Source organism: Homo sapiens, chromosome 4 (assembly GCF_000001405.40).
Source record: "Homo sapiens chromosome 4, GRCh38.p14 Primary Assembly".
Lineage (NCBI taxonomy): Eukaryota > Metazoa > Chordata > Mammalia > Primates > Hominidae > Homo > Homo sapiens.
This window is the reverse complement of record NC_000004.12, coordinates 15,468,436-15,483,065: the sequence shown is the minus strand read 5'-3', so window position 1 is coordinate 15,483,065 and position 14,630 is coordinate 15,468,436. Positions and strand designations below refer to the sequence as shown.

The following is a 14,630-nucleotide window of genomic DNA, read 5'->3' as shown; positions in this document are numbered from 1 at the left end:
GGGATGTTTTCTCTTCGTCTTGGTTTATCAGTGCTGCCAATTCATCAGCAGCTTCCAGCTCCACCCAGGGCTTCCCAGACACTGGATGGTCATGGTGTGGCTCCAGTAGGCAGGTCTCAGCCTTCTGTTCATTCCATACCTCTCCATTCCCCAATTCAGAAATAGCGCTTTTTGTGGGGGAAGGGACTAATGCATAGATCATCTCCATGGTGACAGTGGACAGTATCTTCTTCATTTTCGAGTTAGAAAATAATCCACTTTTTATGTCACAGAGCCTTGACTGGTGGCCACCTCTCCTGGCAGTCTTTCCCTTGATTTTAAAATAAATAATTAAATATCCAGTAGTTGTGCTAAGGACTGAATTGTGTCCCCCCTCTGAAAATCTGTATGTTGAAGCCTTCTCCCCCAATCTGACTGCATTTAGAGATAGAACCTGTAGGAGGTAATTAAGGTCAAATGCGATCATAAGGGAGGGGCCCTGATAGGATTAGGATTAGTGTCCTTATAAGAGGAGACAGTAGAGCCTCTCCCTCCCCCAGTGCAGGCACAGAGAAGAGGTCATGTGAGCACACAGCAAGATGGTGGCCACCAACTAGCCAGGAAGAAGGGCCTCACTGGAAACCGGCCATGCTGGCACCATGATCTCAGATGTCCAGCCTTCAGAGCCATGAGAAAATAAATGTTGGGTGTTTAAGCCCCCCAGTCTATAGTATTTTGTTATGGCAGCCTGAAATGACAAGTTGTAATCTTTGGTAGTAATAAATAATTTTGAGCATTTAGAAAAAGAAACAGCCATATGAGATAAATTTTGGTTCTGTTTTTATTAATTCATAACAGCTCTCATTGTATCATTGCTTTTAGATTAGAACCACATTTTTCCAATCTAAGAGTCTACTTGCTTCCAAAGGCCTCTAGTTTCCAACAGTTACTTATTTCCCAACTTTGCCATAGGGAAAACAGTCTAACAATTATGTAACAATTAAAAAGTGTAACCACTTCTCCTCTTGTCTAATCCACTTTTCATGAAAAGCAATGCCTGAAGGGTGGTCATTTTCCCTACAATGAGCAGGTAATTCCTAATGTTCATTGTACTGGGGAAGAAGAAAAGGCGTGTGTAGGGGGAGAAGTATATGTGTCCTCAATGGCAAGGTCACCAGGAGCCTCAGAAACCTCCCTCATTTCTTCCAAACATCTGATTCAAGCCTCACTAGGTTAACACATATGTCTTCCCTAACAATTTCATCTTCCTTTGAGTTTCTGCATATTTAATTTCCATTCTAATTAACACTCCCTAACTTATGTATTGTTAGTCCATTTTGCATTGCTATAAAGGAATATCTGAGACTGGGTAATTTATAAAGAAAAGAGGTTTATTTTGGCTCACTGTTCTGCAGACTGTGCAATAAGCATGGTGCCAGCATCTGCCTCTGGTGAGGCCTTAGGAAGCTTTCACTTATGTCAGAAGGGGAAGGGGAAACAGGTGTGTCGCATGGTGAGAGAGGGAGCAAGAGAGAGGGGAGGAGGTTCCAGGCTCTTTTTTGTTTGTTTGTTTTCTGAGATGGAGTCTTGCTCTGTTGCCTAGGCTGGAGTGCAGTGCTCCGATCTCGGCTCACTGCAACCTCCACCTCCCAGGTTCAAGCAATTCTCATGCCTCAGCCTCCCAAGTAGCTGGGATTACAGGCATGCGCCACCACGCCTGGCTAATTTTTTTGTATTTTTAGTAGAGATGGGGTTTCTCCATGTTGGTCAGGCTGGTCTTGAACTCCCAACCTCAGGTGATTTACCCGCCTCGGCCTTCCAAAGTGCTGGGATTACAGACGTGAGTCACCGTGCCTGGCCTGCCCAGGCTCTTTTTAACAACCAGCTCTCCTGTGAGTGAACAGAGCAAGAACTCACTCATTACTAGAGGACAACACCAACCAATTCATGAGTTGTGCCCTCATGACCCAGACACCTCCCACTAGGCTCCACCTCTAACATTGAAGGTCACATTTCAGATTTGGAGGGGACAAACATCCAAATAATATTATGTGGTTATAGAAACACATCCTGAAGCTATGTGTTCTGTCTCCTTGGCAGGGATTAACCTAGAGTCACTCACCAAGTTGGGGTAAAGTGGGTGGAGCAGCAGTGGCAATGCATGAAAAATAACACCCATAAAAAATCCCTATACTGCTCTGTGCTGAGCTCACAGTAGGCAGTTAACAAGCAGTAGCTGAATGGAAGAGGGGCACTTACTCCGTGGGCCTCTCCGGACTGTCATACTCAGGAGGCGGGTCTTGGGCTCCTCCTGCACAGGCTCCTGGGGGTTGCCAAGGTGGGATTTTTCGGACACCATTTCCTTGGGGACAGCAGTTGGTGGCTGGAGGAAGAAGGTCAGAGGTTCAGAGACTCCCAGGACTTTATTTGAGTCTGTTCCTCTCTTGGGAAGATGGGTCACCAGTGAGGGGACAGGCCTTAGTACTATTCACATCTGGATAACCACAGTCTCTGTCACCTGACTCACTGTGAGTACCCACCAGGGAAGAGGTGCCAACCCAGAATTTCTCTAGAAATGCTTTTGTGAAATTATCAAGGCGTCCCCAAATAACGTTATTATTTTCACTTTTTCTAGGTAAAATATGTAGAGCTCTGCAGGAATTTGGAGGAAAGAGAAACAGGAAAATCAGTTTGTTCCCAACTTCAAATAGTTTGCAAACAGCAGCTAAAGTGTTACTGGGTAATTCAGGGGCAAATATTTAGTCCACCCTTTGGACACCCCCCAAGAATAGCCTCTGGTTCCTTCCCCACACTCTCAGTGAAGGAAAACAAGGAAGCAGAATTTGCAATAACACCTTTGAGGACAGATAGACTAAAGCTTGCCTCCAAACTCAGACTGACTGTGGGACTTTGGGCAAGTTAGTTAACTTCCTTGTACACTGCTTTCTTATCTGTAAAAGAAAAATAATAAAAAGAGCCCATTTTTTGAGATGCTACAATGTTTGAGTCACTGTAGAAAGCACAGAGATTCTGACGTAAATAGATGGCCCGGGATGGAACTTATTTAAACAAAAAGTCCCCATGTGATTCTGATTCTGGAGTGCAACTACGTTTCTTGCAATGCTCCCAACCTATAAAGTTCCAAGCCTGGCCCATAAATTGCTCAGCATTTGAGAGCTGTTATATTCCCTTCTCCATCCTTGCCCCTTTCTCCTCTTCAGTCTAAGCTCCGTGGCAGCCTTGGCACTAGTCACCCACTTGCTCACTGTGCCTGTGACTGTGGAGCTAAAGGCTTGAACCCTTTTCATCTACTGCCTCCACAGCCCCTGGCCTTGGGCTGCACGGCTGCAGACTGACCCCACAGGAAGGGGTTAAAGCTTCGGAGCTGTGTCTGGCTGTGGGTCTCCTCAGTCCCCAGGAGTGGCCAGAGAGCTAGCCCACGTGGCCAGGCAGTACCTCCCCAACCACCTGGACCCTCCCTTGAAAGGCTGAAAGTGACTCCTCTGCCCAGATTGCCCCGAGGAGTGTGCTGAGCAAGGGGGGAGCTAGGAGGGAGGTCTCTTCTGTCTCCCTATGACCTCTTCATCTCTCCTGGCCACCCCTCTCTGCAGCCCCTTCACGTGACTGCTGGCTCAAAATGGCGCTTCTCTCCCCTCCCTCCCCTGCTGGCATCTTGATTGTTCCAAGCAGAGCTCCCATCCACAATAGCTGCTTCCCTGCCTCCCTTCTCAGAGGACAACTTCTTACCAAGGACTTACCTTGAAAAGATTTACCCTGCACGGGATGCTCCCAGCCTAGGAGGGGAACTCCTGCGGAGAGGTGGGGGAGGATCTGCCAGCAGGCTCGGGAGAAAGGAGTTGGCTTCTGCCTCAAAGACAGAATTTGGGCTTGGAGTTGGAAAAAGAGGGAGTTTCCCAAGATTTGTAATCGTGTACTGCCATCTACTGCCCATCATAGTCCATGGCCTTCAATGAAGCACTAAAACAGGCTCCTTCCATCTTTTCTAGAGTCCTCTCTCAGGAGATGGGAGAAAACTTAGAGTAAAAATGCTCTAAGTATGGACCCCCGCCTTATTGTGAGGCTCATCTATAAGTCTCTGAATCAGGCTCCTGCACCCTGGACCACCCATCTGCATCCCCGCCTCACAGCCCCCCAGAGCAGGCCAAAAGTTGGTACCAAAAGAAGGAAGGCTGCCCTTGTGGATTCTGTATGGCCCTGGGGATGCAGGCGGGTTGTTGATCAATGACAATACGCAGACACAGTTTCTTGTCACTTCTTACCTGTTTCTTTCTTGGCTGTCTTCGAACCTTTGAGTTCTTATTCTGTCTTCCCATGTCTGCATCCTCATCATTTTCAATGAACTCCTTTGTGAAAATGCAAAAGGGAGAGAATCTTAAGACAGGAAGAGAGGTATGACTTTTAGGTATTAAAATTAAAACTCCCATCTTGACCCTGGGCTTCTATCCAGTAATGCTGAGTGTGAGTTGGGGGACAGTTAACAATCTGTGCGGCTCTCATCATCCACTCTTCTCAACATAGACATGTTTTCGAAAAGTCGTATCCATATTGGACCATCATACACGAGATGATGTTGGATCTTCCATTGTTCCAGGTCCTCATTCATGCATACAGCATTTATTGAGCATTTACTATGTTCCATGCTCTTGGGACACAGAATTGAAAGCCACATGCTGTCTGCTCTTAAAAGTTACAATCTAAGAAAGGCGACTAACAAGTGAATCTGCTAGGACAGACATCACAATCATATTAGGGATTTCACCGGTTAAGTTTTTCTGCTTTCCAGCCTTACCAGCAGGAAAAGGATAATAATGATACATGTTACATCATCACAAATGCTTCAAGTTAAAGGAAATTTTGGCAGATTTTTTTTTGAAAAGGAAAACAATCCTTTAACAGCGCAAACTTCGTTTCCTCTTTCCACCTTACGCTTTCTAATATTTTAGTCATAAAATGTTAGAGCTGAAAGCTCTAAAGTCTACGAGCTCTAAAATGTTTTAGTCCTAGAGTTTTATAGACTGGGGCACAAGTGCCCCTGGGTGAACAAAAAGTTGCAAGATAAACAGAACCTCTCTGGGGTACACAAAACTTACTAGATTTTTTTTTCCTAAAATTAGGATTTTTTTGTTTTTATACTGAAACAAATTCGGAACACAAAGTATGAATTTTAAGGATATATAATTTCAAAGAAATATCATGCAGGTTTCTGGGCCAGACCTCAATTACTCCTGACTGCCCTTGGCCACTGGGGTTAGGGAAGACATGAACCGCAATAACAGAGGACGGAAGTGAGGTCGAACGAGAGAATAGCCTTGGTTTGGGCCTTTCCTTTGTGTATGTGACCTGATCTCTGACTTGTCCTCTGAGCTGCATCCTCACTCTGGACTCCTTCTTTGGGCCTGACTAATAGGGAGTGTTCTTAGTTCAGGGGATTCGCCAACTTAGATTACAAGAAGATAATTATATTGAGGTGTGCAAGCATGGCTTTTAATTCAATTCTAAGTTTTTACTGACTTAGAATGGACTTGTGAGAAACCTACGTAATGTTTTGCTTTTCCGTGATGTTTTCATCCTCTATTCTAACTATCCAGTAGGACTTCAAATAAGATAGAACGTAAGTTCCATGAGGGAACAAGGTTTGTTTACTGCTGTATTCCCAGGGACTACAGGCACAAAATATATTTGGTTATATGAATGAATAAGCAAATATAAATTTATGTGGGTTTGTTGGTACTTGATCTTGCTTAAAGTTTTTTTTTTTTTTTTTGAGATGGAGTCTTATTCTGTCGCCCAGGCTGGAGTGCAGTGGCATGATCTCGGCTCACCGCAACCTCCGCCACCCAGGTCAAAGTGATTCTCCTGCCTCAGCCTCCCAAGTAGCTGGGATTACAGGCATGCCTCACCACGCCTGACTAATTTTGTATTTTTAGTAGAGATGGGGTTTCTCCATGTTGGTCAGGCTGGTCTCGAACTCCCAACCTCAGGTGATCCACCTGCCTCGGCCTCCCAAAGTGCTGGGATTACAGGCGTGAGCCACCGTGCCCAGCCATCTTGCTTAAAGTTAATCTGCATGGTTTTATAATGAGTTTCCTCAGGCTTTTTGGAGGACTGCATTGGACAGCACATATCATCTCCATTTCTGTCTTTGTTGTCTCAAGCCAGTGAGCCCTTGAAGCGAGAGAGAAGTAAGGATTGAGAGGAATACTCTCTCTTTTGTTGGATGGTCTGCAGTCTCCAAATTAGACAGCCTCCCTTCTCTGGTGTGGGCAGTGCTTTAATGAGTTTTTACATACAATGAGTCAGAAATTGCAGGACTCCACAGACAGAGGCTTGTATTAGCAGGTGTCTACAATTGTTACCTTCATTCTGAATGTCTTTAGAAATCAGCGTGCTTCAGGCAGAGCTATGCTCAATAATAGGTAGTAACTTTGAGCTGCTGTGTGTCAGAGTTCATAGAACCGTGACAAAACAGCTTCGGAGCATTCAGGTAGAGGTAAGACCTTGGAATGTCAGCAGGACTGCATTTCCTTCAACATCCACCTCCCCTTCTCCACCACGTCTCTGATATAGCACCCTCAGGGTGCATTTAGTCGGTGTGTGTTAAATTAAACTAAATGTGGCTTGAGGATACCTCTGTACTTTGAGTTCTTACATAACAAACTGCAATCTTAGTAAACTAAATGAAAGCCTAATTTAGAAGTATGCTTCTGTAGCAGGTAGCTGAGTCTCAGCCAATCACAGCAGCTGAGTGTCAATCAATCACAGGTGGCCTACTGATCAGACTGTGTTTAAATAAGGCAACACTGAGCTGTAACTAATCAAGCTGTTTCTGTACTCCACTTCCATCTTCAGTCCATAGATGCTGTCTGCCCACAGAGCAGAGCAGAGCTCTCTGAATCTCTTCAGGTTCTGAGGGCTGCCCAATTCACAAATCGTTCTTTGTACAATTAGACTCTGTTGAATCTAATTCATGTAAAGCTTTTCTTTTAACATGTGCAATAGATGCTGGTTGGCCTAACTTCCTCATTCACAAACACGTGTAACATAAGCATGCACACACAAACACATCCCTAGAGGACATCAAAGTGGCCACTTACCTCTGTAATTATTTTTACTTTTTCTTCCCTGGGATTCATTTTGGCTGGGATGGGTCCCTGACAAAGAACAATGAAGAAGTCAGGCATTTTGAAATCAATGAAATATTGCTTCTCTTACTATGGATATGTAAGAGGCTGGCCATGATGGTAAGTGAAGTGTTTGAGCTGGGTAGACTTTCCACTCACCAGGAACCCTGGCAGACCCCAGGATTGGTGGAGATAAGTGCCAGAGGAAAGGAAGGATGCCAGGTCTCCCTGTCCCTGGGAGCCTGCCTTTACTGTGCCCATAGAGTTGGATGGCACTGGTTGGAATCCAGCTCCAGAAGGACCATTTTACAGCTCATCTCCGCTACTGCCCCTCTGCACTCTCTGCCCTTGACCTTGGCCCTTATTTCACCAAGTAAAAAGACAAGACCAGAGAGGGCTTCTACATCCCCTTCCCCTCCCACCACATGGAGCCACCGCCACCTCCTCTGCTTCCACTTGCTACTATGAACCCCCATGTCCCATGGGGCCCCTCCTTGAACAGTGCACTAGGCCCCATCATTCCTCCTCCTCCAGGCCCTTGATCCTGACAATTCTTCACTTTCATCTGGATTTTCTTCCTGCTCTATTGGCTCATTCCTACCAGTGGAAAAAATGCTGTAATTTTTTCCTTCCTTTAAAAAAAGGCCCCTGCCCCCTACACTTTTTCTTTTGAGACGAAGTCTCACTCTGTTGCTTAGGCTGGAGTACAGTGGCACGATCTCGGCTCACTGCAACCTCCGCCTTCCAGGTTCAAGGGATTCTTCTGCATCAGCCTCCTAAGTAGCTGGGATTACAGGCGCATGCCACCACGCCCGGCTAATTTTTGTGTTTTTAGTAGAGACAGGGTTTCACCATGTTGGTCAAGTGGGTCTCGAACTCCTGACCTTGTGATCCGCCTGCCTGGGCCTCACAAAGTGCTGGGATTACAGGCGTGAGCCACCGTGCCCGGCCAAAAAAAGCCCTCTCTTAACTTTACTTCTCTTTCTAGCTGTTGCTCAATTTTTCAACAATTATAGAAAAATCCCTCAAAACATTCCCTCTCTTTCCAGTTTGTTTTTTTATTTTTGGGGTCTAGCATACTCTGCAACTGCTTTTGCCAATGATTCATCTCCAGTGACCCCTGCGTTGCCATGTCCAGTGATCAGTTCTCGGCCCTCATCTTACTTGACTTGGTCAGAGGCATTTAAAACATTTTCTAAGTTTTTAATTTTTGTGGGTACATAGTAGGTGTATATATTTATGGGGTACATGAGATATTTTGGTACAGGCATGCAAAGCTTAATAATCACATCACAGAAAATTGGGTGTCTATCCCCTCAATCATTTATCCTTTGTGTTAGAAACAATCCATTTATACTCTTTTAGTTATTTTTAAATGTACAATTAAATTATTATTAACTATAGTCCTTTCATTGTGTTATCAAATACTAGGTCTCATTCATTCTTTCTATTTTTTTTTTGTATCCATTAAACAACCTCCCCCGACCCCTGACTACATTTCCCAGCCTCTGGTAACCATCCTTCTCTTCTCTATCTCCATGAGTTCAATTATTTTGATTTTTAGATCCCACACATAAGTGAGAACATGCCATGTTTGTCATTTGCATGTTCTCACTTACTTGTGGGTGAAATAAGCCAGGCATGGAAGGGTCAGAAACATTTAGTGATGAAAGTGACCCATCCCTTCTTTTGAGATACTTTCTTCAGTTGGCTCCTGGAACAAGTTCTTTCTTGGTTTTCCTTTTACCCACTGACTGTTCCTTCTCAAACTCCTTTGCTGGTTTCTCCCTATCTCTCAGACCACCAAAGATAGGAATGCTGTGGGGCTTAGCTCTGCCTGTTTTCATTCCTCTGGCCATCTCATTATGTCTCTTGGTTTTAAATACCATCTGCATGCTGATACTTCCCAAATTTACATCCTGGGTCCAGACATCTCCCCAGAACTCCAGACTCAAGTATCTGCTTGATGGACACCTTCACTTGGCTTTACATACCTCAAATAAAGTTCTTTGCTTTTACTCCTGAGCCTGCCTTGTACTGCAGTTTTCCTGTTGTAGTAAACAGAAATCCATTTTGCTCAGGCCAGAAACCTTGCAGTTGTTCTTAACTCCTTTCTCAGTCTCACATGAATCCATCAGAAATCCTGCCAGTTTTGGCTTCAGATTATTTTCAGGATCTAATCACTTCTAAACATTTCCACTGTTATCACCATGGTCAAACACCATCTTCTCTCTTGAAATCTACTGCAAGAAACTCCTAATTTCTCAGCTTGCCACATTGCTGGGCTACCATATTCTCTGCATTGAAGCCAGTGCAAATTGATGAAAATTTGAGTGACATAATCACATTGCTTCACTCAAAATCCTCCAATGATTTCCCTTTGTCAACAGAGTAAAACCCAAAGTTTTTTCCAAGGCCTACAAGCCCTGTGTGATTTGCACTTGAATCCTGTTGCCTCAGGACCTTTGTAGCTGCGGTTCCTGCTACCTAGTTCTCCTTTTTCCCAAGATATCTGCATGGCTCTTGCTGTTTCACTTTCTTCAGGTCTCAGCTGAAATTTTATTATCAGAGAGCTCTTCTCTGACCATTCGTAATACAATGATCTCCTCCCAACACCCTCCTGGAATTCCCTAACTACCTTACAATGATTTTTTCACAGTACTTATTACCACTCAACATACATACTTACTTGTTAATGTCAGCCCATATCCATTAGAATATAGCTGCAAGAGGGCAGAAACATTATTTTGTTTATTGTTTACCCCCAGAGACTAGGATTATGGGACATCATGGACATTCAATATATACTTGTCGAATGAATGATTAAGTCACTGACTTATTGGCTGTGGTTCCATAGCCACATTCTGGGACTATTTAAAGCTCCACTGTTTCTTCTAGGCTGCTGTGAGGATTAAATGAGAAAACACATGGAGAAACAACAGGCATATGGCTGACAAATCATAAGCCCTTTCTAATATCCTTGGAACCCAAATCTTAACTGGGACTTGGTCAGGTCATTTAAGCAGCTCATCTGAGATCAAGGTTTCACTGACCCTACAGGGGAATTAGCATGTTAAAGGGAAATAAAGCATCTGAAATTCTATTGTCTTCTCTACAAACCTCATCACAGGGTACAAAAAATAGAGGAAGGAAAATGTAAAAGCAGCTAAGAAAATAGAGAGGCAAGGAGATAACCTAGAGTGAATGAGGGGGCAGATAATAAAGATGAAATGCAAAAGTACATGAGAGCTCTCTAATGAACAACTCTGGTCATTGCAAACTGAAAAAAAAAAAAAACCTGTGAAACATTTTAGTAACTAAAAAAAGTTCTCTATAAGTTAATAAATGCTTTATATGGAAGAAAAAAATAGAAGTAGAAAATGAAAAATGTAATGGGATTTTCTTTTTTCCTCATTCTTTCCTGATCATTTCCTTTAAATGAGTTTCTAAGGAAATCAAATGACACCGAAATTTATTTTTTATATGAACACTGTTGCTAAGAAAAGATAAATCAATACTGCCTGGTTTTAATATGCAGTTTGCCATCATCTTATGCACTGGTACTTGTTAATATATTCCTACTGGCAACATCAAAATAGCTATGATTTACTGCACACTTATTTTGTGCTAACTATAGACATGTTCTCTTTAGTCCTCACAATAACATGTCTGGCTTAGTAGTATGTGCCCCAATTTGCGTATGAGTAAACTGAGGCTCTGACAATTTACATGATTTTTCCAAAGTTATAATTATTAAATGTCACATTCAGAACTTGATCCCAAGACTCTGTGATTCCTGAGTCCTCCCTCACTCCACTCTACCCCTCCATCTCACCATTTATTCTTGCTTTTGCAATGGCATCAATAATTATTCTGTGCTTTCCAGAATAGTGGGCTATTCTGGAAATATTTACAGTTGAAAGCTGTGAAGCATTGCACTGGTGAGAAAAGGCTTAGGCTACATTAAGCCAATGATTTATTTTACTCAGTGCAGAAAACCAGATATATTTTTTCAAGGAAAGTACTGACACCTTCATCTGAATAAATGGACTATTCCTAAGAGTCATCAGTGGGTCAGAGCCATACCTGGAGGTTGAGATACAACGCATCTCAACTCCATATTGGTTGCTTAAAAAATCATACAATATATATGCCCTACTCCAGGATGGCAAAAACATGGGTTTATAGGAAGAGTGGTCCACATATTTCTTTGCCAAGGAATATGTGGACCTGAGTTCCAACTTCAGCTTTATTTATTAGCTGTGTGATCTTGGAACAATGCCCTCCCTTCTCTGAGACACGTTTTTTTTTTTTTTGTCTGCAACATTGCAATCATACTTCCTACCTTGAAGGATGATTAATTTATAAGGGCTAAATGATGAAATGTGTGTAGTAAAATGCCTAGCACAGGCTGGGCTCTCAATATTGGTAGGTTTTGTTACTAAGAAAAAGTGATTGTGGGGAGGGAAAGTGGAAAAAAGGAATGAGGAGGGAAAAGAGCTTGGGGGATAGAAGAGGAGTCATGAGAAAGACCTTAGGTGATGTTCAAGCCCACCCACCTTCAGCTCCAATCTTCAACCCCCAGCTACCATAACTCATGTTTCATGTCTCCCTCCCTTCAGCCAGGCCCAGGGCAGTTGCCTTGCTGTTTCCATTTATGGTGCTTCTGAAACCTCCTGCACTTCTACCCATGAGTATTTTCTTCCTCACACCCTGAGAACATTTTTCTGTTCCCTCCTGGAGCTTGGACACCTGGGGAGGTGCCACATACATTGTTTTGGAATACATTATCTTATTCTACAAGTTATTCCAGCTGCAGTTTCCCTTAGCATAAGGTTAGTGACCAATAGCTTTATAGAATCATTTAATCAGCTCGATATAATGTACACTGGCCTTGAAGAGTACACATGAGTACCATATTTGAGCTGTGTTACGTGATATATGACCAGTGCATTTACATGATGTGCTAAGTACTGGAAGCCCCTCCCTGGATGTCATCCCACTGTCCTCTCAGTGTTTTTATAAATCTCTTATGGCACTTAGCTCATTGTACTCTTATCATGTGTTTATAGGTCTGTTTTCCCAGCAAATTCTGAGCTTCTGACCTAGTCTAATTTATGTTTGCACACTCTAAACTTAAATTCATTGCCTGGTGCATTGTTGATGCTCCATAAATGTTTGAATGAATGACTCTATAAGTGAGCTCTAGGATATATATATATATATATATATATATATATATATATATATATATAGAGAGAGAGAGAGAGAGAGAGAGAGAGAGAGAGAGAGAGATTTCATGCTGGTGCTGAATTTATTTGCAGAAAAGGTTATATGAAAATGCAGTAGCAAACATATTTCTTATTTGACTTTATTAGCTTTTCATACCACCTCTTTGCAATGAAGGGAAACAAACAATCAGCTTAAGTTGTAGCCAGTACATTTTCTTGAAGTCTTTGGAAAGCACAGCAACTCTTAGCACTGTGGTTAGTAGCCCTTTCTCTGTCTCATACCAAGAAAAGTGTATTTTGCAGTAATTAGTGCTTCTCCCCTTAAGCCAGTTTGAACTAAAAGGCCCATAAATGCAACACGCAGCTAATGTTTCACAGAGCTTTGGTCAGAGAGCATTTTCACTCAGGACTTGTGATGAACTGGACTTACATTTCCTGCAAACCAGATACCAGATAGCAGCTCAAATCAAAGCTGCCAAGTAATGGTCTATGTTCCCATTTCAGAAAGTAAAAACATAAATAACGATGAGAGCCCCTAAATTTACAATTCATTAAATCCAGTCTCACGGTATCCTGGAGAGGCTGAACTTCAAGCCGGGTAACTGAAAACAGGAAATCACTGTTGCAGCCTAAAGTCCGGTTAGGGACTGATTTACCTTAAGAAACTTTACAAAAGGCACTTTGCAGATTCTGCATTCTAGGATGGAAGTGGAGAGAGACGGTGCTGTTGAATCTTTTAAAAGGGTCCGGAGGGAAAGGCTGAGTGTTGGAGATGCCCCTGGGCTCCTCCCTGGGAAGCTGCAGCCATGTCTTGGAGCAAAAACACCAGCTTAGCAACCCGTTCCTAAGGAAGGTCACTCGGTAGCTTTTTTTTTTTTCCTTTAAAGTGACAGGCTACTTCCAGTAGTGGAGTACAAGCATGCTGGGTAAGCAGAGACGCACAGCCTGCAGTAGAAGGACGGAGAGAAATCAACATGAGCAGCACTGGAAATTAGGTCAAGCCTTAAGAGCTGCCCCTCCCTCATGTCATCCGGTCGTCTTGCATTTCCAATGAAGAACAGGCTCAGAGGTGGGGGGATTTAGAATCTTAAAAGGTCGTCATTACATGGTGAAGCTGTCTAACGTGGCAGCAGCAAAAGCTCTGTGGAGGTGCTGCAGAGTACCAACAAATGTTGCACTTGAGTGTTTTCCAGTTAAAAGTGGAAGGTTGAACGCACAAGTTTAATCTTTGCCTATTCTCTGAATCCCACTGCAATTCCTGAAAACGGATATAAATGTTATGGCTCAAAAAAGTTGGAAAAAAAAAAAGAGGGAGAGGTAGGAGGCAAAGTAGCTGGAAGAGTAATAGAATGAATGGAGCCAAGGAAACACACTCCAATAGACTAGTGTGTATGTGCACATGTGTTTGTGTGTATTTGTGTCTGTGTGTATGGTGTGTGTATGTTTGTGTGTATGTGTATTGACTGTATCTTCTTATTTTCTGTATTCTTGATGCTCTGGCATTTGGAGCCTTGATCCTGGAGAAACTGATTCTCCTATGTTAGCTAATTTCTAGAGATAGCAAATGATTCCCCTGAAATATGCAAAGTCTCCTTTGATATACAAGCCAACCAATCCAGAGCCCACACAACCATCTCCATTATCAAACTCTCACACACTAAGCCAATATTCCTCCTGTCCTAAGTCACCCCAGGTCCAGATACCAGACCACTATAGCCCAGAGAACACCACGATTATTCAAGCTATCCACTCCTAAATTTATGCAGCACCCTACCCTGCTTCACCTATTCCTTCCTGGGAAAACCCTAGTAAAGGCTCTGTGCTGTACTCTGCTGTCTCCGTTCTGCCTTCTGACCAACATTGGTTCTTCCCTATGTGGTCCTGTGTGGCATGCCATGTTCTATGATTTGAATGTGTCTTCCCAAAAGCATGTATTGGAAACTTAATCCCTAACACAATGGTGTCGGGAGGTGGCACCTAATGAGAGGCAATTAGGCTGTAGGGCTCTGCCCTCATAAATGCATTAATGCCATTATTGCAGGAGTGGATTCCTTATAAAAGAATGAATTTGGCCTCGTTTTCTCTCTTTCTCTTTCTTGCTCTCATGTTTTCTTGCCTTGCACCATAGGATGGTGCAGCAAGAAGACCCTTGCAGGATGCCAGCCCCTTGATCTTGGACTTCCCAGCCACCAGAACTGTGAAAAATAAATTTCTGTTCATTATAAATTGCCCAGTCTGTGTATTCTGTTACAACAACAGAAAACGAACCAAGACACCA

At 43.1% G+C, this 14,630-nt stretch overlaps 1 protein-coding gene across 8 annotated transcripts in view, besides 1 other annotated feature; it reads right to left on the bottom strand.

Annotated features, from left to right (window-relative positions):
• Positions 1-13,201, bottom strand: part of CC2D2A (coiled-coil and C2 domain containing 2A) — a 131,693-nt gene extending 118,492 nt beyond the window's left edge. For 2 of the 8 annotated variants that reach the window (XM_047416010.1, XM_011513872.4), the window contains exons 1-4: positions 13,009-13,201; positions 7,095-7,151; positions 4,260-4,343; positions 2,239-2,362 (exon numbers count right to left, since the gene is read on the bottom strand). In XM_047416010.1, coding sequence (XP_047271966.1) covers positions 2,239-2,362; positions 4,260-4,343; positions 7,095-7,133 — 247 coding nt within the window. In that variant the 5' untranslated portion in view covers positions 7,134-7,151; positions 13,009-13,201. Of the gene's footprint in view, positions 1-802; positions 1,870-2,238; positions 2,363-3,737; positions 3,855-4,259; positions 4,344-7,094; positions 7,152-9,810; positions 9,845-13,008 lie in introns of those variants that run through there. The other 6 variants (NM_020785.2, XM_011513874.3, NM_001080522.2 and 3 more) reach the window with 6 other exon arrangements.
• Positions 3,514-4,164: an enhancer, noted in NCBI's record as "OCT4-NANOG-H3K27ac-H3K4me1 hESC enhancer chr4:15480526-15481176 (GRCh37/hg19 assembly coordinates)". NCBI's record gives its function as "activates a minimal SCP1, AML or CMV promoter by ChIP-STARR-seq in primed H9 embryonic stem cells {active_cell/tissue: H9 hESC(primed)}" and the evidence as "EXISTENCE:reporter gene assay evidence [ECO:0000049][PMID:30033119]".